The following is a 27,627-nucleotide window of genomic DNA, read 5'->3' on the forward strand; positions in this document are numbered from 1 at the left end:
GCTAAATACTCACTAAATGTAAAGATTTCTGAGGAGTTCAATTATAGGGAATAGATAGACAAATTATTTTAATTATTACCACTACTATTGTTGTCATTAGGGGACAAAGTACTATGCTAAGCATTTTTATGCATTATTTCATGAACTCTCACAATGTTGGGAAACAGGTGTTATCATTATCCCATATTCCATAAAAGGAAAGTGGTTTTTTGTTTTGTTGTTTTGTTTTGTTTCATTTTATTTTTGAGATGGAGTCTCACCTGTCACCCAGGCTGAAGTGCAGAGTGCAATGGCTCGATCTTAGCTCACGGCAACCTCCGCCTCCTGGGTTCAGGCAATTCTCCTGCCTCAGCCTCCCAAGTAGCTGGGATTATAGGTGCACGCCAACATGTCTGGCAAATTTTTGTATTTTTAGTGGAGACGGGGTTTCACCATGTTGGCCAGGCTGGTCTTGAACTCCTGACCTCAAATGATCTGCCCACCTCGGCCTCCCAAAGTGCTGGGATTACAGGCATGAGCCATCATACCCAGCCAGAAAGCGTATCTTAAAGAAGCTAAGCAACCCATCCAAAATGATGATGATGATGATGATGATGATGATGATGATGATGATAATGATGTCAGCTGATATTTACTGAGTGCCACTATATGTTATAATGGTATTTTTAGTACTTTTCATGTATTACCTTATTTAATCTTTTTACCAAGAATCCAGTGAGGTAGGTAGTCTTTGTTATACCTGTTTTATCAAAGAGGAAACTGACTCACGGGGAAGTTAACTAACTAGAATAAAAGAGTTTAAATTACTGGGTTCAAAATATTTAAGTTGGATGCTGGGCACAGTGGCTCATGCCTGTAATCCCAGCACTTTGGAAGGCTAAGGCAGGCATATCATCGAGGCCAGGAGTTCAAGACCAGCCTGGCCAACATAGAGAAACCCCATCTCTACCAAAATACAAAACTTAGCTGGGTGTTGTGGCACACGCCTGTAGTCCCAGCTACTCAGGAGGCTGAGGCAGGAGAATCACTTGAACCTGGGAGGCAGAGGTGGCAGTGAGCCGAGATTGTGCCACTGCACTCCAGCCTGGGTTATAGAGTGAGACTCTGTCTCAAAAATAAATAACTAAACAAGTTGGGACTTGAATGCAGATAGATTGATTTCGGCAGCCGCACTCTAATCGTAGTGCCTTTCCATGATCATGTGACTGGTAAGTAAGTGGCAGACCTGGACCCAAACCTAGGTCTGGTAGACTTTCTCTTAACCACTGAGCAGTATAGCTAATTAGTTCAGCTAAGTCTATTTGATAGGTTGTCTTTAGTATGTGATGTGATTATTTACCCTCTTCAGAGCTACTCCCATGAACACTCCTTATACCCCACTAATAGTTTTCTGCTAGTGATTGATTCCCTTACTCCAAATGCGATCCAGCCAGTTCTCAAATGCAAATACTGTTGAATAATTTTGAAGTAATTTAGGAATCAAGGATATAAGTCTTTTGGTGTTTGCTCAACTGCTTTGAGACACAGGCATCAACTGAAATGAAGGAGGCCTTGTTAAGAAGTGGGAGGGTCTGTGTAATTTTGAAGTGTTTGTTTCTAATCTAGTAACAGCTTTTCATGGCATACATTAATAAAAGATTCAAATTCTGTTTTATATTATGAATGCACCATAACAAAACTGGATTGCTTTGCACTATACTGCGGTTGTACCTGGCACTTTGTTCTTCTGACCTCCTAAGTCTAAAATCAGCCACAGATGAGCCTGTTAAGGTAGAGAAGGGTTTCTGCCAAGGGATTGTCCAAAGATTGTCCAAAGAAGTGTACATATTAAAAGGCATCTTGGGGAAACCTAGCTATTCCATTCAAGCAGGAGGTAGTTTAAGGCCTACTCAGTGAGTAATTTAGTAAAGAACAGTGAGTTTTATGACTTAAATCTCATGAAATGACATTAATGTAAGCATGGTTCATGGAATGAGAAAGTGATGAAAATGATGTTGATTGTTCTTGGACTCAAGTGTGGTACTTTAATGTATTATAGGTGGCCTTGATCATATGGTTGCTGCCTTCTTCTGACAAAGCTAGCAGGAGAAAGAAAGACACAAGTGGCTCTGTTTGGGCATTACAGTGTAGCCTGGAAATGCTACATTATTGAGGATGATCTTTTGAAAGTGAGAATCTGAGGCAACTGCCTGTGCACTGCCTGTGCCTGTCTCTAGAGCAGTATGGGAAAAAAAGAGTAGCAGTGAAGGTTTTCTTCCTTTTTCAGTTTAATTTTGTATATTCTAAAAGAATGAGTCCCCAGGTCTCAGGCAGGAGTTGCATTGTTGCCAGTCCTAATATTTTATCTTTCAAAAATGCCCACTCACTGTCAATGTCTTTTCCTCAACCTGTTGTGCTGTAAGCCTATTTTATTGATAAGAAAGAGCCAGACAAAATTGGCTGAAAATTAAAAATCTAGGTGACATATTTTAGAGGACTAAGTTACCTTTTTTTTTTTAGTGAACATAATCATTAGAAGACTTTGCACCTTGGTTGGGCTGTCCCTTTGCTCCTCTTTGTTGACAGGCAGTCTTCTAAGGCTGTCCTTTCTCCCTGTAACCTGTCAGCAGAATAGAGGCATAGTGGGGAGACAATGAGAAGAGCTGCCTTCTTGAGAGATCAGAGGAAGAGTAGAACAGAGGCACAGCGGAGAGACAATGAGGAGAGCTGCCTTCTTGAGAGATCAGAGGAAGAGCAACTGCTGACAATTTCAGCTGTGTAAGGAGGCCATGCCGTGTCTACTGTCTAGATTCCTAACTTTTGGGAAACTTTATCCTTTACTGAAAACAATAAACCATCTTGGCAATGTTTTGTGATGTGTTGATAATCCAGAGTGAAAACAACTCTTAAAGTAATCACAAGACAGGATAGTCTTATAGAAGTAAGATGGAAAATAGGAAGAGATACTCACTGTTAGCCCAACCTCTGATGTGTTAGAGTATCTTTGATCTTCATTCTGTCTTTCATATGAGGGTAAAATTCTCCATCAAAGGTCAACATATGTGTTTAAATTAATTTTCTAATATAATCTTAAGGGAAGATCACTAGAGTCCAGAGACCATCGTCTCTCCCCTCCCTCACCAGTCACCATTAGCTGCGTGACCTTCGGCAAGTTATGCAATCTGTTTCACACACCATTTATATATGTCTGCGTAAATCAGTGCTTCCCACTTAGGGTTTATTGTTCATTATATCACATTTCATAGTCATATATGGTGAGGCCCCCTCCTCCTAACTCCTCTGACCATTATAAATTCCCTGCCCAAACTATTATGACCATTATAAATTCTCTGTCTAAACTATCATGATGCTGGATAAATTAAAACGTCATGTGTTTCTTGCTGGAGCTCCTCTAGAACATGTTCCCCTCTTTGTTTCCTTGGTACACTTAGGCAAAAGATCTCTTAGGCTGCCTACTGCTACCCTTTCCTGCGTAACTGTGGAGATAACAGTATCAGTGTTCAAAAACCACTGATTAAAGGGTGGGGAAGAATTAGATGTATATCTACTTCAGCATTAGTCTCTTAGCTGATTCATGTATAACCCACAATACGTAACTGTTATAATTTCTAGATACTGGAAAATAATGGGCCAAATATATGACTGATGTAGAAATACATTAAAGTATAACATGTAGTTAACCAGGTAACTCACAACAATCTAAGCTGGTGCTGAGGAAGCTAAATTAACATCAGTTTACAATTTGAACCAAAACTAACAGCAACTGAGAGTTGCAACCAACTGATTGTAATACTGACAATTACCCCATATCTCAGTGTCATCCAGAGAACTGCAGACATCCACTCTCGTCGTGTGCCAGTGTTGTTAGGAGTGCCCCAAAGTTTCAGGACTTGCTTGGCAGCCATACTTCCTCGGAAGATGCCTCATTTTCAACTCTATGTAATTTACTAATTTTAGATTATGCATACCACGTTTTAGTATTGGGATTCCAAATACTGATTCTTGACCCACAAGCTTTTAGGAATAAGTAGCCCATTTGTAGGTGAAAGTCTGTACTATTGTATGTCAGTTGCCAAAAGAGCATTGGATGGGGAATGGGAGCTGATTCTTTTTTTGTTGCTGTTGTTGTTTTTCAATAGCTTTAGGGGTACAAGTGGTTTTTGGTTACATGGATAAATTGTATAGTGGTGAAGTCTGGGCTTTAGTGGTGAAATCTGGGCCTCTCCTCTCCCCTCCCCTCCCCTCCCCTCCCCTCCCCTCCCCTCCCCTTCCCTCTCCTCTCCTCTCCTCTCCCCTCCCCTCCCCTCCCCTCTCCCCTCCCCTCCCCTCCCCTCCCCTCCCCTCTCCTCTCCTCTCCTCTCCCCTCCCCTGCCCTCCCCTCCCCTCCCCTCCGCTCCCCTCCGCTCCACTCCCCTCCGCTCCCTTCTCCCCTTTCCCCTCTCCCCTGTCACCCGAATAGTGTGCAGTGTATCCAATAGGTGATTTTTTTTTATCCCTCAACCCTCTCTCATCCTTCCTGCTTCTGAGTCTCCAGTGTCCATTATACCATTCTTATGCTTTTGCATACCTATAGCTTAGCTCCCACTTATAAATGAGAACATGTGGTATTTGGTTTTCTGTTCCTGAGTTACTGCTCTTAGGATAATGGCCTCCAGTTCCATCCAAGTTGCTGCACTGCAAGACATTATTTTATTCTTTGTATGGCTCAGTATTCCACGACAGACACACACACACAAACACACATACACACACACACACCCCCCACATTTTCTTTTTCTGCTCATCTGTTGAGCACTTAGGTTGATTCTGTATTTTTCCATATATTGCATATTGCATAGTCCTACAATTAATGTGGGAGTGCAGGTATCTTTTTTATATGATTTATTTTCCTTTGGGTAGCTACCTACTAGTAGAATTACTGGATCGAATGGTAGATGTACTTTTAGTTCCTTAAGAAATCTCTATACTGTATTCCATAGAGATTTTACAAATTTGCATTCCCACTAACAGTGTATAAGTGTTCCCTTTTCACCCCATTCACGCCAACACCTATTTTTTGACTTTTTTAAAATGGCCATTTTCACTGGGATAAAGTAGTATATATCATTGGGTTTTAATTTGCATTTCCCTGATGATTACTTATGTTGAGCATTTTTTCATATGTTTGTTGGTCATTTGCATATCTTCTTTTGAGAAATGTCTATTCATGTTGTTTGTCCACTTTTAATGGGATTATTTGTTTTTGTTTTTGTTTTTGTTTTTTGCTGGCTGTCTTGTTGGAGTTTCTTACAGATTCTGGATATTAGTCCTTTGTTGGATGTATAGTTTATGACTATTTTCTCCCATTCCGTAGGTTGTCTCTTTAATTCTATTGATTATTAATATTATTATTGTTGCTATGCAGAAGATTTTTAGTTTAATTAAGTCTCATTTATTTATTTTTATTTTTGTCACATTTGCTTTTAGGGTCTTAGTCATAAATTCTTTGCCTAGGCCAATGTCCAGAAGAGTTTTTCCTAAGCTTTCTTAGAGAATTTTTATGGTTTCTGGTCTTACATTTACATTCAAGTCTTTAATTCATCTTGAATTGACTTTTGTATATGGTGATAGATAGGGGTCCAGTTTTGTTCCTCTGAATATGGCTCTAAATTTTCCACTTTTATACTTTTGGTTACTATGACCTTGTTGTATAATTTGAAGTCAGATAATGTGGTGCCTCCAGCTTTGGTCCTTTTTCTCTTAGGATTGGTTTGACTATTTCCGTCTTTTTTGGTTTCATATGAATTGTAGGATTATTTTTTCTAATTCTATGAAAAATGATATTGATCATTTGATAGGAATTGCATTGACTCTATGGATTGCTTTGGGCAGTGTGGTCATTTTCACAATATTGATGCTTTCAGTCCATGAGCATGGAATGGTTTTCATTTGTTTGTATCATTTCTGTTTTTTTTTTTAATCGGTGTTTTATAGTTCTCCCTGTAGAAAATTTTCATCTCCTTGGTTAAGTGTGTTCCTGAATGGGCTTCCTTCTCTCTCCTCTCCTCTCCTCTCCTCTCCTCTCCTCTCCTCCGCTCCCCACTCTCCTCTCCCCTCTCCCCTTCCCCTTCTGTTTCCTGCAGCTATTATAAATGGGAGTGAGTTCTTGATTTGATTTTCAGCTTGGTCATTATTGGTGTGTAGCAGTGCTACTGATTTGTGTACATTGATTTTTGTAACCTGAGACTTTGATTTTGTAACTGAATTCATTTATCAAATCTAGGAATCTTTTCAAAAAGTCTTTAGAGTTTTCAAGGTACAAGACCATATCATTGACAAAAAAACATAGTTTGACTTCCTCTTTTCTAATTTGAATGCCCTTTATTTCTTTCTCTTGCCTGATTGCTCTGGCTAGGATTTCCAGGGCAGTCTGTTCTTAACCAGAAGTAGGCTTGTAGGGCCTTGTGGCCCCAGAGAGTATGATGAGGATCACCCTTTATCAGGACCTATATTTTTCCATACTTGTATCCTAGCTTTTCCTAGGCAAAAATAAGCTCTCAATAACTTTTGAAAATAAATGGATACATATGTAATAGTATACACATATTAAAATTTTAATTGTATATATCTAAATGCTATATATACAGTTGCAAAAACTATAACAAAATATTGCAAATGTAGTACATTTTTATAGAACTATTTTGACCCAAATTTTTAAATAGATTTCCTAACGTTAAACTTACCAGAGGTTTAGTTGTAACTCACACATTCCTGCATACCTCATTCAAAGCCCTAAAAATAGCAGCGTCTTTTTTTAGAACAGGTAAATGTATGCATTTTCTTTCAGTATACAGGCTCTGACCTACATATTCCCAATATAGGACCAGTCCTTAGAGAGCAATAGTTACTGTGGGCATAGCACCCAGAGGCTCCATCCTGCTCTCCCTCCCAACCACTGCAGACACAAAAACACAGAGGAGGTGGCACCTCCTTTCAGTATTCTCCACCTCTTCCAAGAGCCCCATATTCTGCCTCTCAAATGCCCCATCCTAAGTGCAAGTAGGTGCCCCTGTGAAAGAGGAGGTAAGACTGTGAAGAAGAGAAAGAAAATGCAAGCCTGTCACCTGGTAGAGGCACCCTGCGGCTGCCTCCTGACCCCACCTTGCTGTTGATCCCCACTGACCAGTGCTAAAAATGCAGAGGAAACTATTCACTTTTTGACCATCCCTCACTCCTTCCACTAGAGTTCTTGTCACTTCTTCTAAGTCACCGTTCCCTTTCAGTTCTTGGCCTCAGAGTCTCCCTCCCAGTATCTCCCTGGGCCTAGAAGCCTCAGGCCAGCCTGTTCCCTCCCTTGGCTGGAGTTGCTGCCTCTGGCTAAGGCTAGGTGAGACTTCAGGAAAAGAAAACAGGAGCCTTGTCCTGCTGCCTGGTCTGCTTCTATAGGAGTGCTGTGATTTCCCTGGTGGGTGCATTTTCATCAGGAAGGCTGTTGTACCAGAATGGTTTGGCTCTGTCGTCCTTTTTGGTTTATTATGAATTAAGCAGCCTTCTGTGCATCAGCCAGTGGACTAACCACCATGTAGAGAATTGTTTCTTCGGGGAAATATATTGTGAGTCTCAAACAGCTCTGAATCTGTTGGAACACAACTCCATTTTAGGTGCCAATATTTTGTTTTTGCACTGTGGAATTTTATAGTGGTAAAGGGACAATAAGATGATTGCTGCTAGGCTTTACTTGCTATTTTTGCATGATGTGATTTTCCTTTCTGTATCATGAGCAGAAACCCATAAACAATGCAAATGCTCATCAGTAGGCAAGCAGATGAATAATATTCCCTTTCGATAATCGTCATACAGGAGTTTGGACGAATCTTAGCAATGTAATGTTAAGTGAAAAAAAAATCCCAAAATATTAGATACAGCATTATATCTTGTATGTAAAATTTAAAATAATTAATATTATTTTATAATTGTTATAAGGACAACAAAGTTACCTAAAAAAGAAATGTAGAGAATAATGAACATGATTCAGGATGGAGCTTACTTCACTTGGGGGAGGTCAGGAGATTGCATGGGGCCTTAGCCAAACGATTAGATGTGGATTGTTGTTAAATGACGTAGTGAGTTCATGGGTCCTTATTAAGTTAATTAAAATAAAATTCCCTGCATCAGGTTCAAAGCAAGAAAAAAATAACAAACATGTTCTTTTCTCCTTAGTTAAGGATAAACACTGTTACATTTTCCAGGATGAAATAAGAATAAATCACAAACTTGGTTTTCATAGGAAATATCCATATGGGAATGTCGCTCCTTGACTTTGAAACCAAACAAAGTATGTCCAGTAGGTCAGCAGAAGCACAGCAGCACCTGCTGGGAGAAAAGGAGTCATTTAGCTAGTGAGGTCACCCAGTTGAGCACTCACCTTCCGTCTGTCAGTCTTTGCCGGCCTTGCATACATAAGCCTCTCTTTGTGAGTCAATCGAGATGAATTAACAGTCCTATTAGTAGTCTTTTACCAGACAGCAGGGGGAAGGGCACCTCATAAAGGGTCATACATCCAGGTTGCATCCTGGTTCTGTTCTTCTCTTCCAGGGCACCTAGGCAGGGTCCCCTCTTAGCTTTCATTATTATGTCCTATTTCGTTGGGTTGATGCACACTCATAAAATAATAGGTGTAAAATTGCAAATAGTAAACCAGCTTATGAGAAGTTGTTATTCCTGTAACTAGACATATTTCCCCAGATTTTTCTGTTTACTTCATATACCTTATATGTATAAACTATCCTTGTTGAGTATCATTTACAAATAATATCTTGTAAATGGTAATTTTACTCTGTAGTAGGTTAAATAATGGATACCCAAAGATAGTAAGTCCTTACACCTGGAACCTATAATCCAACCTTATTTGGAAAAATGGGTCTTTGCAGGTGGGATTAAGTTGAGGGTCGTGAAATGGGGTAATTATCGTTGAGTATCCAGGTAAGCCATAAGTTCAGTCATTGATGTTCTTATAAAAGAGAGGCAGAAGGAGATTTGACACAGAAGAGAAAGCAGTGTGAAGAGGGAGGCAGAAATTGGAGTGATGCATCCACAAGCCAAGTAATGCCAGCACCCACCAGAAGCTGGAGGAGGCAAGAAACTGCTTCTCCCCTAAACCCCCCAGAGGGGACAAGGCCCTACTAACATCTTAGTTTCAGCCCATTGAAAACAAGTTTGGCTTCAGGCTCCAGAACTGTGAGAGAGCACATTTCTCGTTTTAAGCCACCAAGTTTGTGTTGTTACAGCAGTCACGGGAAATCAATACATTCATATTAACATATTTTTGAAGATAATATAATTTTCTAAAACACAATTGAGGATGTCAAGCTTTTGAAGTGTTCTGAATCAATTCAATAACTTTGTCGTATTTAATTTTGATGTAACTGAAATGAATATTTAAATTAAAATTTTAAAGCACTACATTTTTCAGGGTAAAGGTTGACAATCAGCACACATTACAGAACAACAAGATGGTGAGCAATTTGGGCATGCCTATGTATCATTTTGACATACGCGTGAGGATTTTCATTGGCCTCAAGTTTGCAGCTGAAGTAAAAGCATCGTGGATGAATTGAGCATTTTTATTATTATGTCCTGCCAGCTTCCAGAAATGATTCAAAACCTCTTGGAGCTACCTAATCTATAAGGCTGTTAAAGGTAGAAGAGCAGGTGCCTAGAGGTGAGCTGTGACTTGCAGAGTGCCAAGCCAGTTTTCCATGCAGTCTTTATCATCAGTGGTAGCTCCTGACACCACAGAACTTGAAATTGCCCTCAACCCTTCCTTTACAAATGCTATTTTAAAGAATAATCTTACATAGGCACTCCAGATGAAGGTGGACCTGTGACCATAACTTCCTCTCCTCTATTCGTGCTTTTTAGGTCGAAAAGTCCAATTAGAATGCATCTTTTAAAGCAGTACTTCTCAAACTTCAGTATGCTTGTAAACCACCTGGGGTTCTTCATGAGCTGTAGATTCTGATTCAGCAGGGAGTGGGACCTGAGCTTCTGCAGGTGGTGGTGATGCTGCTAGTTCATGGACCACACTTTGAGCAGCAGGGCTGTAGCATCTAGTGCTCCTGCTTACAGGTTTCTCCCTGTTTTTCCCTATTTTGAGGCACAGTTTCAGGCAGTCAGGCTGGTTCTGCTGCATTTGCTTGGCAACATCACCTCCCTCCAGCCTCTGCAGCTTCCACCCTTGGGCTGCTGCACGTGCACGTACATTTCCACTGCTGTGGCTCCCACAGTGCACAGTTGGGGACTGAGTCTGAAGCTGTGTCACAATAACATCACTCAGTCTGAAAAGAGAGAAAAGTTGTTGAGATGAGAGTGAAATCCATAAGGGAATCAGGGTTTAGAGAGACAGGGAATATAAAAACAGTAGGAGAACAGGGAGAGGGAAAAGCATGAAAATTTAGTTGGGGAAAAACATTTGAAATGTGCTACTTTCACTGCAGAATTTTCCAGGCACTAAGAGCATTTTCTGGAGTAATTTTAGATTTATTTATTTGTTATCCTCGACTTTCTTTAGCAGCCACCTGCTTGTTGTGTTCATTCATCCACCAATCTTTTGTGACCTTCTGTATACAGGCTGAAAACTTTTTTTAAAAAAATCTCTGAACTGTATAACTAAGTGCTGCAGCCTCTGAGAGACTGTCTAGTTAAATTGGGCCAGACAGTGGTCCCAACCGGGCTGATGTTAGAATCACTGAGGAGGTTTAGAAAATTCTGCATATCTTGCTGCACCTTGGACCAGTTAAATAGGAATTTAGGGGATAGGTCACAGTCATTCGCACTTTTTTCTTTTTCTTTTTTTTTAATCAGTATTTTAAAATATTCCTTAGATGATTCCTGTGTCCAGCCAAGCACCACTAAATGAGACAGTAACCTTCTAGCAGGTGAATTGAACTCATTTTTTAAAAACCCCTAAGAGCTGTTTTTCTGTGTGTGTGTTGCTTCCTATATAAACCTTTGCAATGTTGAAAACTCTACATAATATTTTGGAAACACCCTCTCCTTCAATCCATCACCTGCAGCCAAGCAGCTGATTAAATATTGAAGCTGCTTTCTGAAGCCCTGGCAGCTTTTCATTTTCTCAGTCCAGTGGCTCCCCCTGCTGTCTTTACCAGGTAGAGTTCACTTCTCTACAGAACCTCACTACAGATTCTGCTGCTCCGCAAAACACAACCCAGAATCATAGTATTTTAAGGAAGATTTTCTAATCCCACATCAAGCCTGTATGTTACTGCCAAAAATGAACATTCAGAATACTCTAATCTCTTACCTAGTGGTAGTTTAGGTAAGGCCTAGGGAATGATGGAAGAAAGGAACTATATATATGTAAATAGATAAACTCACACCTGTGTACACACACACACACATACACATACACACACACACACACACACACACACACACACATTGATAGCTTATCTGGCTACCAGAAAAATATTCTGTTAGCCATGTGATTGTGCTGGTTCCCTGCAAAATAATTAGCATTGACACTGTAGAAAGTGGGGAAGGAAAGCTTTCATGACTAACTTCTCTGCCCTCCTTCATCTAATTATACCCTTCCTTATCAACCCACTTCTCCCTGTCTACCCTCTAAGCTGTAATTGCAGCCACATAAAAACAAAAGTAAATATATGGGCATCTGTGTGACCTCATCTTGTCACCCAGACTCTGTTGTATATTACCTCAGGATTAAACTAGTGCACTGTGTCTATGGAGGCAGAATTTGATCCTTATTTTGTCTGAATGCAAAATGCAACCTTAATTCTGCCTAAACCTCATAAAGGTGCTGATTCCATTTTACACAGCTTTTATCGTTAGAATGCCCTTCTTTGCTGTATATCAATATCTTTACCCCATTGGTCCTTGTTGTCATGTGGCTCCGCATAAGTCAGTCTCCCATTCACAATGTAGCACTTAATCTATTCAAAGCGATATCCCAAAACATTTTTTTCTCAACAGCATTTCCAGTCAGCCCAATGGGACATGGGGCACACCCCTCCCCCCACCCCCAACCTTTCTGAATACACTCCACAGAGGACCGTTTATTTTTGTCCCTTGTCACATGTAGCATCTGGTACTGGCACAGCAATCCAGATGTGTTCTGACTAGTATATCATATGATTAAATGATTACATCTGTATGAATTGTTTATTGCTGCATAACATTAACAAAAATGTAGTGACTAAGGCACATTTATCATCTCTCAGTTTCTGTGGGTTGGGATTCCTGGCATGACTTAGCTAGGCCCTCTGCTTCATGGTCTTTTTTTTTTTTTTTTTTTTTGAGACGGAGTCTCGCTCTGTCGCCCAGGCCGGACTGCGGACTGCAGTGGCGCAATCTCGGCTCACTGCAAGCTCTGCTTCCCGGGTTCACGCCATTCTCCTGCCTCAGCCTCCCGAGTAGCTGGGACTACAGGCGCCTGCCACCGCACCCGGCTAATTTTTTGTATTTTTAGTAGAGACGGGGTTTCACCTTGTTAGCCAGGATGGTCTCGATCTCCTGACCTCGTGATCCACCCGCCTCGGCCTCCCAAAGTGCTGGGATTATAGGCGTGAGCCACTGCGCCCAGCTGCTTCATGGTCTTAAAAGGCTGTAATCAAGGTATCAGCTGGGGCAGCAGTCTGACATGAGGGTCGGCTGGAGCTCATGTGGTTCTTGGCAACACTCAGTTTCTTGCAGGCTGTGGAACTAAGGACTCAGGTTCTTGCTGGCTGTTGGCTGAAGCCACCCCCAGTTCCTTGCCTTCAGGCCTTCCCAACGTGGCTGCTTGCTTCCTCAAAGCCAGCAAGGGAGCAAGTCCACTAGCACAATGGCTGTTATCATTGTACACAATATACAGTTGACCTGTGAACAACACAACTTTGGAATTCACAAGTCCACTTAGATGTGGATTTTTTTTCAATTAAAGTTATACCAAATGTGCCTGTCTCTCCTGCCTCCCCTTCTGTCACCTCCATGTCTTCCACATCTGCCCCCCTTGAGATAGCAGGACCAAGCCCTCTTCCTCCTCCTCAGCCTACTCAACATGAAGATAAAGATGAAGACCTTTATGTTTCACTTCCACTTAATAATTAGTAACTACATTTTTCTTCCTCTTGATTTTCCTAATATTCTTTTTTTCTAGCTTACTTTATTGTAAGGATATAGTATATAATAAATATAACATATATATAGTTGGTAAGACTTCTGTTCAACAGTAGGCTATTAGTAGTTAAGTTTTGGGAGAGCCAAGAGTTTTATGGGAATTTTTGACTGTGCATGGGGTTGGTGCCCCAACCCCTGCATTGTTCAAGGGCCAGTTGTAATCTCAGAAGTGATATCTCATCACTTTTGCCATATTCTGTTGGTTAGAAGTTCCTGCTCCCACCCACACTGAAGGCGAAGGTTGTGAACAGCAGGAGGTGGGAATCACAGGGGTGAGCTTAGAGTCAACCCTCCTAATCTCTTTTGACTTCTAGTAGGTGATCTTATAGAAGTTTTTATTCAGCTAAAAACCACAAGTCTTTTTTTATGCAGCTTGCTGCATGCCACCTGTTCCCATCTTGAACGATCAATTAATAGAATCTAAGTACTGGACTTTATGTTTATAGCTATCACATTTTCCTGGTGTTAGGTTCAGCCAGTTGTTCATGCCTTATTAAATATTTTTGAATCCTGGTTCAGCCATCAGAATACTACACATCCCTTCTATTTCACGTCATCTGAAAAATGTAAGACATCCCTTCTGTCTTCCTTCAAGTAACTGATAAAAATCCTGAAGAGGATGATACCTAACATTATACAGAATATACATGTACACCTGCATCACATGTCTTATAGACATACACGTATGTATGTGCATGTGTATGTGTGCGCGCGCATGTGTGTGTTGAATGTGAGGGAGAGAGAGCATGAAAAAAACCTCATTCTGATACTCAAAACCTCCTTCTAGGGTGTGGTCAGGTGGATATGAATTGTTTAACAACATCTGAGCCACATTTCTCAGCCAGCTTCTCCTAGAAGCAGATAGTATAGCTCTTCAAAGCATGGTCTCTCTAGTCACACCAACCTGATACAGGATTCCAGCTGCCCCACTTTCTAGCTGTGCAACCTTGAACAACCAGTTTGTCAGTAAACTGGTTATAAACCTGATATTGCACACATGATATCAATAAAGGATAGCTTATTTTCTTGATGCCTGGCTAAAATCGACATATGCTGGAAGAGCAAAGGTTACTGCCCAGACGCTCTTCTCTGAATTCAGGATGTTGACAAGTTTTGTTTGACCCATCTTATTTAGTTTTTGTTTTAAATTTGAATTAAGTAATTTTTTGTAGAAATTTGAATTAGGTCATAGGATTAAGGTACTTTCACAGGAAATCCAGGTATTCTCCAGTTCCCTTAGTGAAATGAAAGCTACAGCAATACTGGGGTCCTGCACTGTGCATGGCAGCCTCTGGCAGAAGCTGAGCAGTCGCTGCTCTCTGTGGACAGGGCCTTGTCACATTCAGTCCTGCCTTCTTTCTCCCCAGCCCTCTCCCTCAGTCACCTGCCTGACTGCTTCTAGAAGAATTTTAATTTGCATTACCATTCTGCTCCAGGAAGGTAGAGTAAGGTAGGAGGAAAAGCAGAAATCTTGAAACTGAAGACGACTCTCTTCTACTTTTTAAAAAGGTTAGTTTAACATGACTTTTTATTTAATGAAGTCATGATAATTTGTCATTTACAAGGATCCTTCAGGTCTATATAGTTAATTAAACAAATATGTAAGGAGTGCCTACTTTATGTACTTTGATAAAAGGAATATAAAGTAAACAAAAATTTTAAAAAAGACATGACCTCTTTACTTATTAACACTTAGAGTCCAATGAAAGAAATAGACGTTTATCAAATTTTCACAGAAATAAATGTAAAGTTTCAACTGTGACAATTTTTACTAAGAAGCCTACAGTGCTATAATGGTATATTATGGTGATTGTGCCCCAATATGCAGGGGCTTGTCCTGAGAAAAGGATGTTTCAACTCAGAGATGAAAAATGAATCAGGAACTAATCAGGTGGAATGGGCACAGATGTCCAGGCTTTGGAAATACACGTGTAAAGGCCTTGTATCCACACCTAAATCTCATCTTGAATTGTAACTCCCACAATTCCCACGTGTCATGGGAGGAACCCAGTGGGAGGTGATGGAATTATGGGGGTGGGTAATATTTCTCGTAATAGTGAATGAGTCCCATGACATCTGATGGTTTAAAAAATGGGAGTTTCCCTACACAAGCTCTCTCTTTGCCGGCCACCATCCATATAAGATGTTACTTGCTCCTCCTTGCCTTCCGCCATGATTGTGAGACCTCCCCAGCCATGTGGAACTGTAAGTCCATTAAACCTCTTTTTCTTTCCAGTCTTGGGTATGTATTTATTAGCAGCATGAAAATGGACTAATACAGGGGTGTTCCCAGAAGACAACACCAGATCACTTAGAGTTGGCACACACACATGCATACCTCTGTATCTTTACACACACTCTCTTCTGTCTGGAGTGTCCTTCTCCTACTCATTTGCTTGACAAGCGCCCAGTCACTTTTGAAGTCTCAGTTTTAAGGCTTCATTTTCTTCAAGCTGTCCCTTCACCTCTTTTCCTGGGCCCCCACCGCGCTCATTACACCCCTCATTGAGCAGCCTTGTCATGCTGACTTTCTGTTTCACATGCTTGTCTCTTTGTCTCTCTCTCCAGACTGAGCAACTCCAAGGCAGACACTTTTTAAAAAAATCGTTTATCTTCTACACATAGGAAAGGGGTGGTCATGTTGTCATCACTCAGTACATTTCTGTTTATTACATGGATGGGAAAACATAATTAACAGTTGAACAACATGTATATAGTATAAAATGAAAAAGATACATAAGGATGGCCAGTGAAAAACGTGGGTCCCCTCCACCTCTGATTTCCAGCCACCCATTCCCCTTTCCAGAGACCACTGCTGTTACTAGTTTATTTGTTTGTTTATTTTTTAGGGATATCCTTTGCCTACTCTAGAAGTTATCTACATAGAGAAAATGAATATTTGATTCAAGTATGCAATTGGCATTTTTTAAGATTTCCATGCCAAAATTTGCTCTCTTTGGTCATTTCCATCTGTCCTTGGCCACTCTTATAATTTCCTCTTACTTGCATCTTTCCCCTTCCCCTTAATATACTCCATCCTTTCAACCTCTGCTTTTTCTATCACTGTACCCTCCTCTTAAAAAATTTCCTTCTTGGCCGGGTGCGGTGGCTCACACCCGTAGTCCTAGAACTTTGGGAGACTGAGGCAGGTGGATCACTTGAGCCCAGGAGTACAAACCTGGGCAACACAGTGGGACCCCATCTCTATAAAAAATAAAAAATTTAGTAGAATAGGGTGGAGTGTGCCTGTCATCCCAGCTACTCGAGAGGCTGAGATGGGAGGATCACTTGAGCCTGGGAGATTGAGGCTGCAGTGAGCCATGGTCACACCACTGTTCAGCCTGGACAACAGAATGAAATCCTATCTCGAAAAATAAAACAATTCCTTCTCACCATCACCCATGAGGCCACTGGATCCTGAAACCTTTCTCCTCGCCTTCCACCTGCCCTGTCTGCAGCACATTCGTTGTACTGTCGGGGGCAGTGCAAGCTCCAGGTGGCTCCTCTGCATTTCCACCTGATTATCGTTTTTCCAGGTGGAGAGTGCACAGTCAGGATCAGAATTAGGCGGTTCTGCTTTCTCTCTCTGGCTCTTCTGGGAACTTCATACCATCTGTTCCAGAGCAGGGTGTATAATATTGCAGCTGAGTTCTGCTGAGCCACTTCACAGGTTTCTTTTAGGACTTCTCACTAAGGAGCTAGAAAAAAATCTTCCAGATCCGAAAGTAGTACAGCTGTGAAGCAATCATTATTTTAGAGATGTTATATGTGTGGACTTTCAGAGTTGCAGCTTAAAAATAATCAGTTATTAGGTTGTTCTGAAGTCCCTTAGAATCCACAGCTGAGTCCATTTAAAATCCACATCGCCACTGTAGTCCTGCCCCTAAAACTTAAAGCCTTGAAGTGGGAATCTGGTGCTTCCCATATCATTTCATTAGGACACAACTTGTGTGAGCCAGTTTTGTGTCCCATAGGCCAGAATTCCTCTGTGCTGTAGTCTTTGTTAGAGACCTCTCGGTCCCCTTGACCCAGGAAGAACCGTTAGCAGGTCTTGTTGTACTTAAATCACAGGTGTTCAGGGAAAAGCCCATGGACTCCTGTTGAGCAGCTCTGAGGCCTGTGCAAAAGCAAAGACTAGAAAGTGAGAGAATTGGTGGAACTAGTGATAGTTTAGAAAGATAAGTAAATATTTCTGACAAACACTAGTTTGTTAGAGTTACTCTGAGCTCTAGAAGTTTAGAATTTGCTTTTCTCCTGTTATTTGGAGTAGATATTTTCACAGCGAGGCCCTCTTTTTCTCAGTATCTTCTCTGCCCGACAGAGGCTGACATAACGGGCAGAACCTGGGCCACACCTGCCAGGGCAGAGGCACACCTGGAGGAGTGAGTATGGGGCCATCATTACCTCTTAGTTCCTCAGGGTCAGGGGTGTAGACCTCCACGGATAAGATGAGCTTGTCCTTTTTTTTTTTTTTTTAACAGATGTTAAATAGTCTAAGAAATCACAGAAAAGACTTCTGGCAACTGTATATTTCTGAACAGAGGGACGTGAGACCATTTTGTAGCTTGCATTTTGGCATTTGCTATTTGTTACCATATGTGTGCTGAAGAGTTCCAAATGTTTTTCTCCCTCTGAAATTCCTCTCCCAAGATTCAGACCTGTATTTCCAGCTGCCCAATCTTGACCTGCAGGCATTTCTAACATTTAATAGATCCAGAATGAAACTCATTGCCCTCAGCCCCCAAACTTGCTTTATGTCTGGCATTCTTGATTTCAGCTAATAACTTCTTCCCTATATAAGTGGATTTTAAACAGCAGAATATACATTTTACATCATGACTCACTATGCACACACACAAAGATGTAACTTGAACAACAGTTTCATAAAACAATATGTATCTTTACATTTATGTTGCCCTCTGATATCTTCTCTTGAATTCCATCTTTTGAAAAGTGCCGATGTCAACTCCCTTGATGAATTTTACTTACAATCCCCCAACCAGTCATGTGACTTGCAATTTGTGAAAACCTTAAACAGATATAAAATGCAGTCTCCTTGAATTCAGCGTCTGGCCTCTGCTTCCTTCCCATCCTGTAGCCCAACCTGCAGTCTAGCCACAGTGTTATCCAGACACACCATTCATTCATTCAGTCAGTCAACATTTACTGGGTGCATATCTGGTGCCGGGCACATGGTGCACTAAGTATCCAGAGATCAACATCATCCACTCTGAGGACCACAATGCGTAGACAGATGAGTAATCTAGCAATTACCGGGTAGTGGTTAGGTTCTAAATAGAAGTTTGCATAAAGCACTCAGACATCACAAAAAGGTAGCATGTAACTTGGACCAGAGAGTCCAGAAGGTCTTTCAGGAAAAAGTGACCCTTGTACTGAAGCTACAAATAGAGGTAGGAGTTCAGCTGGCAAAATTAGGGCAGAGCGTTAGGGAAGAGAATTCACTATGAGAAGACACGGGGGCTGAGCATCGTGTTAATTTGGAGAGCTGAAAGTGTTCTGATATAAGCCTCTCCTTATAACCGTATACTCTACTGTCACTCCCACCCTTTCTTTACTTGGCAAACCATGACTCAGTGTTCCCTCTCCCACTAAACCACCCTCTCCCGGTAGCATTTCTCCCTGCACCCAGGGAGACTCAAGCCTCCCTTCTTTAGGCTCTGACCTCACTCTCCCATACCATCAGCTTTGTTTTGTTGAAGGCCATTCATCACCACCCCTGTTCATCTGCATCACTAGACCAGGAGCACTTCAAGGCAGAGTCCAAGTCCTTACATCTTCTGTGAGGAGTACAATAAGTGTTAGCCAAATAAAGAGCTGAACCAATAAAAGAAACAGGAGATGGACAAGCCACAGACACAAGTTTAGGGTAAATCTGCTTAAATGGATGTGTAGAAGACTTTTCAGTATATCACAGATGGAAAGGGGCTTCAAGTGTCATGAACCTGCTTATTTACAGAGCTGGGGACCACATTTTAAGTGTTCGTGGCACCTCAGTTGCAATTTTCTTTTTGTTTCATTTGCAAAAGATAATTTTTGACTTTTAGAAAACATTCTTTTTCTTCTAACTTAAATGTGTCTTGTTAATGGAACTTGTTAGTGAATTAATAGAAATGAAAATCTGGCATCAGAGACCATACATACTCTCCTTAGTGCACAGGTAGCCAGTCATTGCTAATCATACATTAAACCCAAACAATTTTTTCCAAAATGGCTTTTACAGGAAGCAAAATTAATTTTTAATTATTCTTTTCCTTTGCCCACTTTCTGCCCACTTTGCCTTTTCTGTGTAAATGGTTCAGGGTTGTAAGCAGGACAGTTTGAGGTCTGGAATCTCAATAGTTAAGCCTATAATTGAAAAAGAAAAGTCTAATGTATTTGTTTCTTTCCTGGTAATTTTTATGGTATGACCATAATATATCATAATCACTTTGAAACAGAACACTGGATATGGATGAGGATAATGCCTACAAAAAAGTTTTGCTAACGCAAGCATTGTAGAAACAGAGGCAGCCAGGAAAACAATTGTACTTTATTAGGAGCAAGAGAACAGGGCTCAGATTCTGGCTGGACTTTTCATTGTTTATAAAACTTCCATAGGGTCTGTTTTCACATGTGACAGATTGGCTGTGTTCAAATTGTGCTTTTGAGCTGACATTTCCTCCCTTTGTTGCTAAAGTTTAGTACTGTTGAACTCCTTTGTCCTTGATGCAAATTTTAGTGAGAACAAAGTGGAGCATTTCCAGATTAGCTGTATGTGCTGCCTGCAAACTTAATTGTCTCCTCTTGAAATAATGGTTGGAATTATTGAAAAGAAAGGGAGAAATGCCTTTTGCAGACACTGTTATCATAATCGTTTATGTCAGAGACAATGCTTTTGTCTCTTTTCTCATGTTACAACTCTTCAGCCCTCTTGCCTGCCTCCTTCCCCTTCGTCATCCAGCCCATCAATAATGTGACCTAGTTTGTGTAGATCTATCTATTGATGTTAGTATTAATTAGTGCTGGAAAAAGTAACCAAGTATGAGTCTTAAAAGAATTTTTATTTTCTCATTTGTTGATGCTGGATTCATGTTTCAGCCAGGAACATAAATACATGTATTTAATCCTGATTCACCAGAGTAGGAAGCAGGGAGTTTGGCACTTACTGTATATGTGCCACTCTGACATCACTGCCATGTCACCCACTAGTAAATAAATGCATGAACAATTTGAGCCCTGTATTACCTTATTGCCTAGTAGTGCCTACAAATCCTCGGATAAAGTGAATATGCTTCATTTCCTCTGTTGACAAAGAGTCAAACTCTGTAAAATATTTGAGGAGATTTATTCTGAGCCAAATATAAGTGACCAATGGCCCATGACACAGCCCTCAGGAGATCTTGAGAACATGTGCCCAAGGTTGTCAGGCTGCAGCTGGGTTTTATGCATTTTAGCGAAACATGCGACATCAATCAATACATGTAAGATGTATATTGGTTCAGTCCAGAAAGGCAGGACAACTGGACGTGGGAGCTTCTAGGTCATAGGTGGATTCAAGGATTTTCTGATTGGCAATTGCTTGGAAGAGTTATTACCTAAAGACCTGGAATCAATAGAAAGGAATGTCTGGGTTACCAAAAGGGGTTACCAAAAGGGTGGAGACCAAGGCTTTATCATGCGGATGAAGCCTCCAGGTAGCAGGCTTCAGAGACAATAGAATGTAAATGTTTCTTACATTTACAGACTTACAAAGTCTGTCCTATCAGTCTTAAGGCCTGTGTTGATGTTTCTGCTGGTCAGCTGTGCCTAAATTCCAGAAAGGAGGCAGGTATAATGAGGTATGTCCAGCTCCCCTTCCCCATCATGGCCTGAGCTGGTTTTTCAGGTTAACTTGAGAATGCCTTTGGCTGAGAGGAGGGGTCCGTTCAGATGGTTGAAGGGCTTATAATTTTATTTTTGGTTTACACCTCTCATAATATCTAGTGGTCCTTCTTCTCCTCTGCTGGTTTCCAGCTTTATCTCTTGCCCTTTCTAACCTGTTTGTCTATCCATTTATCCAATATAGTTGGAATGACACCATCTGGCACTCCCTTGAACATACAGTCCCTGTGGAAGAAGTGGGCAGTCTGAATTTTCCCACATGGCTGGAGCCTCCCTGATCCGAACAGACCCAGTTTTCTGCGGGTTCTTTGAGTAATACCTAATACTGACATAGTGCTATGTGCCAGGTAGCGTTCTCCACACAATTGAGGTAGATGCTGTTAACACCCTCCAGTTTACAGATGAGGAAATTGGAGCTCAGTGGGGTTATTTCTCAGCCCAAGCTTACATGGCTGGTAAATAGGGGAGCAAGGATTTGAACTCAAGGTGTCTTCAGAGCCTGGCCTCTTAACCCTGAATCTCCCCTTTCTAGGTTCTTAACCCTGAAACTCTGTTCTCAGTCAGTGATTTGCCATGATCATTGAGTGTAAGAGCCATAGATCATGGAACAGAATGTTCCAATGGAATGTGCCCAGTTACATGTGAGCTGAAATTGCCCATTAGTTCCTTTCCCCAGATCAAACATTGTAGTGATAGAAAAATAGATGGAGAAAGAAGGTAGACATATGGATAGAAAAAGGAAAACATGTAGAAAGAACATTATTTTGGCAAAAGGAAACTGTAAATCACGTAATTACAGATTTTAACTGTAATGAGAGAATTTGAGCATTCTAAGCTGTCGACCCTGCCTCTTTGAAACATTATGATGCTCAGACAGAGGATGTGGGGTAGAAATGGAAGAATTGTTGGAACTGTTAAATGATGAGACATGTGATACTGGAGTGAAAGACAAAAGCTCATGAAAGAATCATGAGGGACACATACAAACTTCATTCAGCAGCATGAAGATGACAGCTCATTGTTTGATTCCTTAGCCTACTTATTAAGTTTGGACTTGATAAAATATAGCAGATTTAACTTGTCTTACCACATTCAGCTGTATTTGTTATAACACAGAGATTCATCTTGGGTGGCTCTTTAGCTGGGTTTGTTTTTACTGAAATAAAATCTCTGGCATACGATAATGGAAAAAAAAATACCAGAGTTTCATAATATGTAGTGTACTATTTTTCTACACTTGAGAATTTTGAGTGCTTTGGAAATAATAAGGCTGTTTCCACAATCTCCTACTCTCCACTAGGTTCTTGGAACACCAAATGAGGACACATGGCCTGGAGTTCATTCTTTACCACATTTTAAGCCAGGTATGTTTCATTAATTACAGATGACTAGGTGCTTCCTATATGCAAAAGGTGAGTATATAAATGTTCCCTCTCAAGCAATATACCACCTTGAAAAATTCTGGTTACTTTTGCCATTGTGTACTTTGTCTATTAATGGAATTGTCCTTTTATTTTCACAAATTATTTGTCTGTGAAGACAGAGTTAAAGACATCCCTGATGATTTTCACCATATATACTTTATTTTATTTGACTGGTTGATCTTGCAGTAACCATTAATTTCATCATCAGTTAGACTAGCATCCATGTCTATAAAAACAAAATTTAAATTGGGTTGCTGTAATCCATCTGTGTCACTTCTTGTAGTAAGTGACCAGGAAAAGTATTAAATTGTAAAAAGGAAAAATCATATTTTTATTTTTTTACAAAACTAGTAAATATATGGTCTATAATTTGAGTTTAAACATGTAAGATGCTCTGAATGTTCTATTGTACAGCATTCAATATGTTTTCATGTAAAATATTTAAACCTGAACACTGAAAAATCTGAAAGAAATGTGAACTTTTAAAGTAAGTTGTCCTTTTTTTTCACCAGTAGGTGTCAGGCGTGAAACTTTGTTTTAATAATTACACTTAACAGATGAATCTCAAATATGGTCTGATTTTTATAAGAGAAGGGAAAGGTTTGGAATTGAAAATTTAATAAAATCAGTAGAATGAATTATTGTAAAATGATTCTCTTGCTGGTTGTTGTGTTTTTTTTTCTTTTCTCAGTTATAAAACATGGCTTACAAAATGCAGACCCACCATAAAATTACTGAAAGGGATTTTATAGAAGCTCTAATAGTCTATTATCCTATGAGGGAAAAGAGCTATGAATAATATCTGTTAGAGGAGCCAAGTGTATTATTTTGCTTCTCTTCCCCTCTTTTGGGGAACCATCAGGAATAAATTATCAGTTCCAAAGAATGACTGAGTTGGGAAACTATTTTTACTCTTAATATTTTTCTTCTGAAAGTGCGCAGTGTGTTCAGAATTCTTTTATCTTCTTCAGCTGCCCTAAAGACTCTTTGTACTTTTACTGGAAATTCTAAATAACTTCTATGTTCTGAAAGACTATAGAAACCTAACAATTTTAAATGGACTGACTTTCTTTTTTAAGCAACTAAGAGGCATCCTCTAACTGATCCACGTGTTCTTAATGGAGTGAAGAACACAGTTCCTTATAAACGATCCAATTGTGGGCTCTTAAAGAAGGTTAACTTCCCTGTGTTAGGACCTAAAATTTATGTCCTAGGCAAATGAAACAGGAGACTTTAAAAAGATTTGAAATGAATAAAGTTAGATGCAAAAAGGAACAATTAAGGTGAAATCATTTGGCCAGCCTAGTTTCTGGATTAGAAAACATGGAGTAATTTATGTGTTTTGGTGGGAATAGAATTTATCTTCATCAACAACATACAAAAGCATTTATTAGTTGTATTTTGGAAAGTACGAGGATGTGGTACCCATTAAGCTAACAGATTGTGAACTTCATGACACCAGGGACTGTTCATTGTACATATGTGGTGTTCAATAAATGTGTGTTGCACTTGATCGTATTGAATGTTAAAACAGACATTATGTATGTGACTCCTCTGGTGGGCATATACAAACTAGAATATTTATGTTTAAGTTATTAACATTATGTGTAAGCCCCACAACAGACACATAATGCATAGAAGGTAATGGGGAAACAGAAAAGTAACATATGAAGATGGTGGAAAGCATGGGTGGTGATGAGCAAGATGGTTATTCCAGGCAAAGCTCAGGGCTGTGAACCACAGCACATAAGTGTTTCCTGAGTTTGCTTGAGAGGAGTCAAGAGGAGACACAACAACAGACTGAGTCAAAGGAAACAAATTTCCAAGTCCTTCCAAGCAGCACTTACCAGACCATCCAGGGGAGCCCCAGTCCCTGACCTCATAGATCTCATAGTCCTGGGGAAGAAAATATACAAGCCCAAAAAGGAAAATATCAGTGCTAGGGTCCGCCTGTCCCAACTCCACTCTCCAGCTCCTTGATTTACCCCGAAGTGTGCCCTAGAGAATCTGGAAAAGGTAATCTGAGACATAAGGACAAACTTTGTTTAATTTTCTAATAGATAATAAATTTAAGCAATTAAAAATATCAAGCAATAGGAACAAGGAGCGTAGTGCAGAGCCACCTCCCCTCTGCCAACTTCCCCTGAACCACTGACCCCACCACAGGCCCTCAGCATATTCTTATATTTCTTTCCTTTATGTAAATGTAAGAAATTAATATTAATTTTTAGTTTTCTCATATTAAACACAATTCCTCATCTTGTTTTTCTCATTAATGCATCTCATTGATCTTCTCATGTCACTGCAAGGAGGAGGCCAATGTGGTGTCCCTCTTGTCTCGTAGAGCACCATTGTTTTCTGGATTTAACCCATTCACTAATTAGGGACAGTTGGGTTGTTTCCAGTGCTTTGCTATTATAAATATTAATGCATTGAGTACCCTTGTGCCTATACATACACATACACATTGCATATATGTAAATATCTCTGAAGGATAAGTTAGGAGAAATAAGGATAAAGAGCCAACAAGTATAGACAATTATAATTTTGACCACTTTCATCAAACTGTTGTCCAAAGGGGTAGTATCTGTTGTCTCTGTTGCCAGAATACAGGAGAATACTTCTTCCCACAGCTGCTTCTCCTCTCTATGCTATGTGACCAAACTTTTGGATTTTGCCAGTTAGATGACAAAAGGAATTTCAGTAAAGTTTTAATTTGCATGTGTCTTGTGATGAGGTTGAGCATCTTTTGATATGTTTCAGGATCATTTGTATTTCCTTTTCTCTGAATTCTTTTTATCTTTTGGCCAATTTACAGTTGAGTTGTGTTTTTTTAAACCTATTTCTAGAAGTTCTTTATATTTTATTTTATTATTTTATTTTTAGCGATGCTGCCCAGGTGGGACTGCAGTGGTGCGATTACAACTCACTGCAGCCTCGACCTTCCAGGTTCAAGTGATCCTCCCTGCTCAGCCTCTCAGGTAGCTGGGACTAACTATAGGTGATGCCACTATGTCTGGCTATTTTTTTTTTTAATATTTTGTAGAGATAGGGGTCTTGCTATGTTGCCAGGGATGGTCTCGAACTCTGGGCTCAAGCAGTCCTCCCACCTCCGCCTCCCAAAGTGCTGGGATTACAGGCGTGAGCCGCCATGCCTGGCTGAGTTCTTTATATTTAAGGGAAATTATCCCTTTGTCCATGAAAACTTTTGCTTCTTTGAGATTTGAAAAATGATCCTTTCTAATTTTTAAGCAATTTTGAAAATAATCCTTGTCTTATGCTCTCTTGTCTTCCTTGACTTGCCTAACTGAATAAGTTTTGCCTTGAAAAGAAAAGCCCATGGTGTTTTTAGAATAGTGGAGTTATGATTTAAAAACAAAAAATAGAGACAAAGTCTTGTTATTTTGGCCAGGCCAGTCTTGAACTCTTGATCTCAAGTGATTCTCCTACCTCAGCCTCCTAAAGTGCTGGGATTACAGGTATGAACCACTGTGCCTGACCACAATTTTTTTAAAGACCAATTTCTGTTATAGGTGTATGTACAAATTCATATATGTGTATCTGTGTAAGAAAAACCAGTTTGGGTTTTCAAATGTATTGCTTTATGGCTATGATCTAGGCCATGAATAAATCTCTTGGTTTTAACATATGCTAACCTAATTTCCCAGTAGTTATTTTTTAAATAACTTATTTTTTAGTTAATGTCTATGAAATAAGTTAAATACACTTATTATTTCAGCAATATTTCCTGAGCACCACTTATATGTCTAGGGACTGGAGATGTTGCATTGAACAAAAAGCAAATGATCCTTACAGGGAGAGACATATAGTAAGTGAAATATATCATATATTGGGTGGTGATAAGTACTGTGGAGGAAAATAGAGCAAGAAACTGGTTCAGGAAGTTCTGAGAAAGGGGAGGGGGTGATTTACAGTTTAAATAGGGTAATCAAGGAAGGCCTCCCTGAAAAGAAGACATTTGACTGAAGAATATGAGAGACAGAGCCAAGAAGATATTTGAGGGAAGAACTCTTCAGGCAGAGACAAGAGCAAGTACCAATGCCCTGAATGGGGAGGAGTGGAGGGCTGATAATGAAGTCATAGACGACGTGGGGCCTTGAGGGATACCCTGAGTCCTTTACCATTGATCTGAGTGAGATAGAAAGCTCTAGAAGATTTTGAACAAGGCAGCACAGGAGCTGGTTTATGTTTTAGTAAGACCACCCCAGCTATTATACTGAGAATTGGGGGCCAGAGAAGAAGCAGGGGGACCCCTTAGGAGGCTATAACAGGAATCCAGGGGAGAGGCGATGAAATGTACTGTGAATAAAATGACCTCCCTTTTTCAATTCCTATGATTATCCCAGAACTCAACATGGTTTTCCCTTGGAAAAAAAAAATATATAACAAAAATGGAGAAACATTTTTAAAATAATTATTGAAATAGTGAAAGAACAATTAGTTAAAAACTGAACTTTATTCTTTACTATATAACCTGTATATCTTCTTCTGTGCTTACACAAAACTTAAGCTCAGCATATTCCCATAGCAACCAGGCAACTACAACAGGTCACAATGGTATTATATATTATAAAGTATGTGCATGTTACATACAATAAGGAGTCTGTGTAAGTCTCATTTGTGTTGCTATAAAGGAATTCATGAGACTAAGTAATTTACAAAGAAAAGAGATTCAGTTGGCTCCAGGATCTGCAGGCTGTACAAGAAGCATGACACCAGCATCTGCTTCTGGTGGGGGCCTCAAGAAGCTTCCAATCAGGAGAAGGTGAAGGGGGAGCATGCATGTCACATGGTAAAAGAGGGAGCGAAAGAGAAGAGAGGACTTCCCTAAAGTTAGTGTCAGAGGTGAAAGTAGATCCCATGTCTCCGTGGGTCTTAGTTGAGTGTGCTTTTGCTTTTACTTTTGTTTTCCAGCCTCCATTATGAAATAGCATTCTACTGAATGTGCATCACAATTTCTCATTGTCCTTCTAAAGAACAGTTTACTGGCAATTAGACTATTTTAAAAAGCAGAAAAGTAGAGAAGATCTGATCTCTGGGAAAATATGTACAGTAATACACACAAATATTAAAATATTACACCAATACAAGGCTCTTTTTAACAACCAGATCTCTCACCTGAATT

The 27,627-nt window shown here is 40.1% G+C and overlaps 1 protein-coding gene across 4 annotated transcripts in view, besides 2 other annotated features; it reads left to right on the forward strand.

Moving 5' to 3' along the window:
• The window catches only part of CDK14 (cyclin dependent kinase 14), a 614,270-nt gene that overhangs the window by 427,219 nt on the left and 159,424 nt on the right, over positions 1 to 27,627 (forward strand). For all 4 annotated transcript variants that reach the window (NM_001287135.2, NM_012395.3, NM_001287136.1 and 1 more), the window contains one exon: positions 22,358 to 22,421. In NM_001287135.2, the coding sequence (NP_001274064.1) occupies positions 22,358 to 22,421 (64 nt within the window). The remainder of the gene's footprint in view (positions 1 to 22,357; positions 22,422 to 27,627) is intronic.
• Positions 8,167 to 8,701: an enhancer, noted in NCBI's record as "OCT4-NANOG hESC enhancer chr7:90661021-90661555 (GRCh37/hg19 assembly coordinates)". NCBI's record gives its function as "activates a minimal SCP1, AML or CMV promoter by ChIP-STARR-seq in naive H9 embryonic stem cells {active_cell/tissue: H9 hESC(naive)}" and the evidence as "EXISTENCE:reporter gene assay evidence [ECO:0000049][PMID:30033119]".
• Positions 27,412 to 27,471: an enhancer, noted in NCBI's record as "active region_26253". NCBI's record gives its function as "activates an Ori minimal core promoter by ATAC-STARR-seq in GM12878 lymphoblastoid cells {active_cell/tissue: GM12878}" and the evidence as "EXISTENCE:reporter gene assay evidence [ECO:0000049][PMID:35858748]".

The sequence above is a fragment of the Homo sapiens genome, chromosome 7 (genome assembly GCF_000001405.40).
Source record: "Homo sapiens chromosome 7, GRCh38.p14 Primary Assembly".
In the NCBI taxonomy this organism is placed as follows: Eukaryota; Metazoa; Chordata; class Mammalia; order Primates; family Hominidae; genus Homo; species Homo sapiens.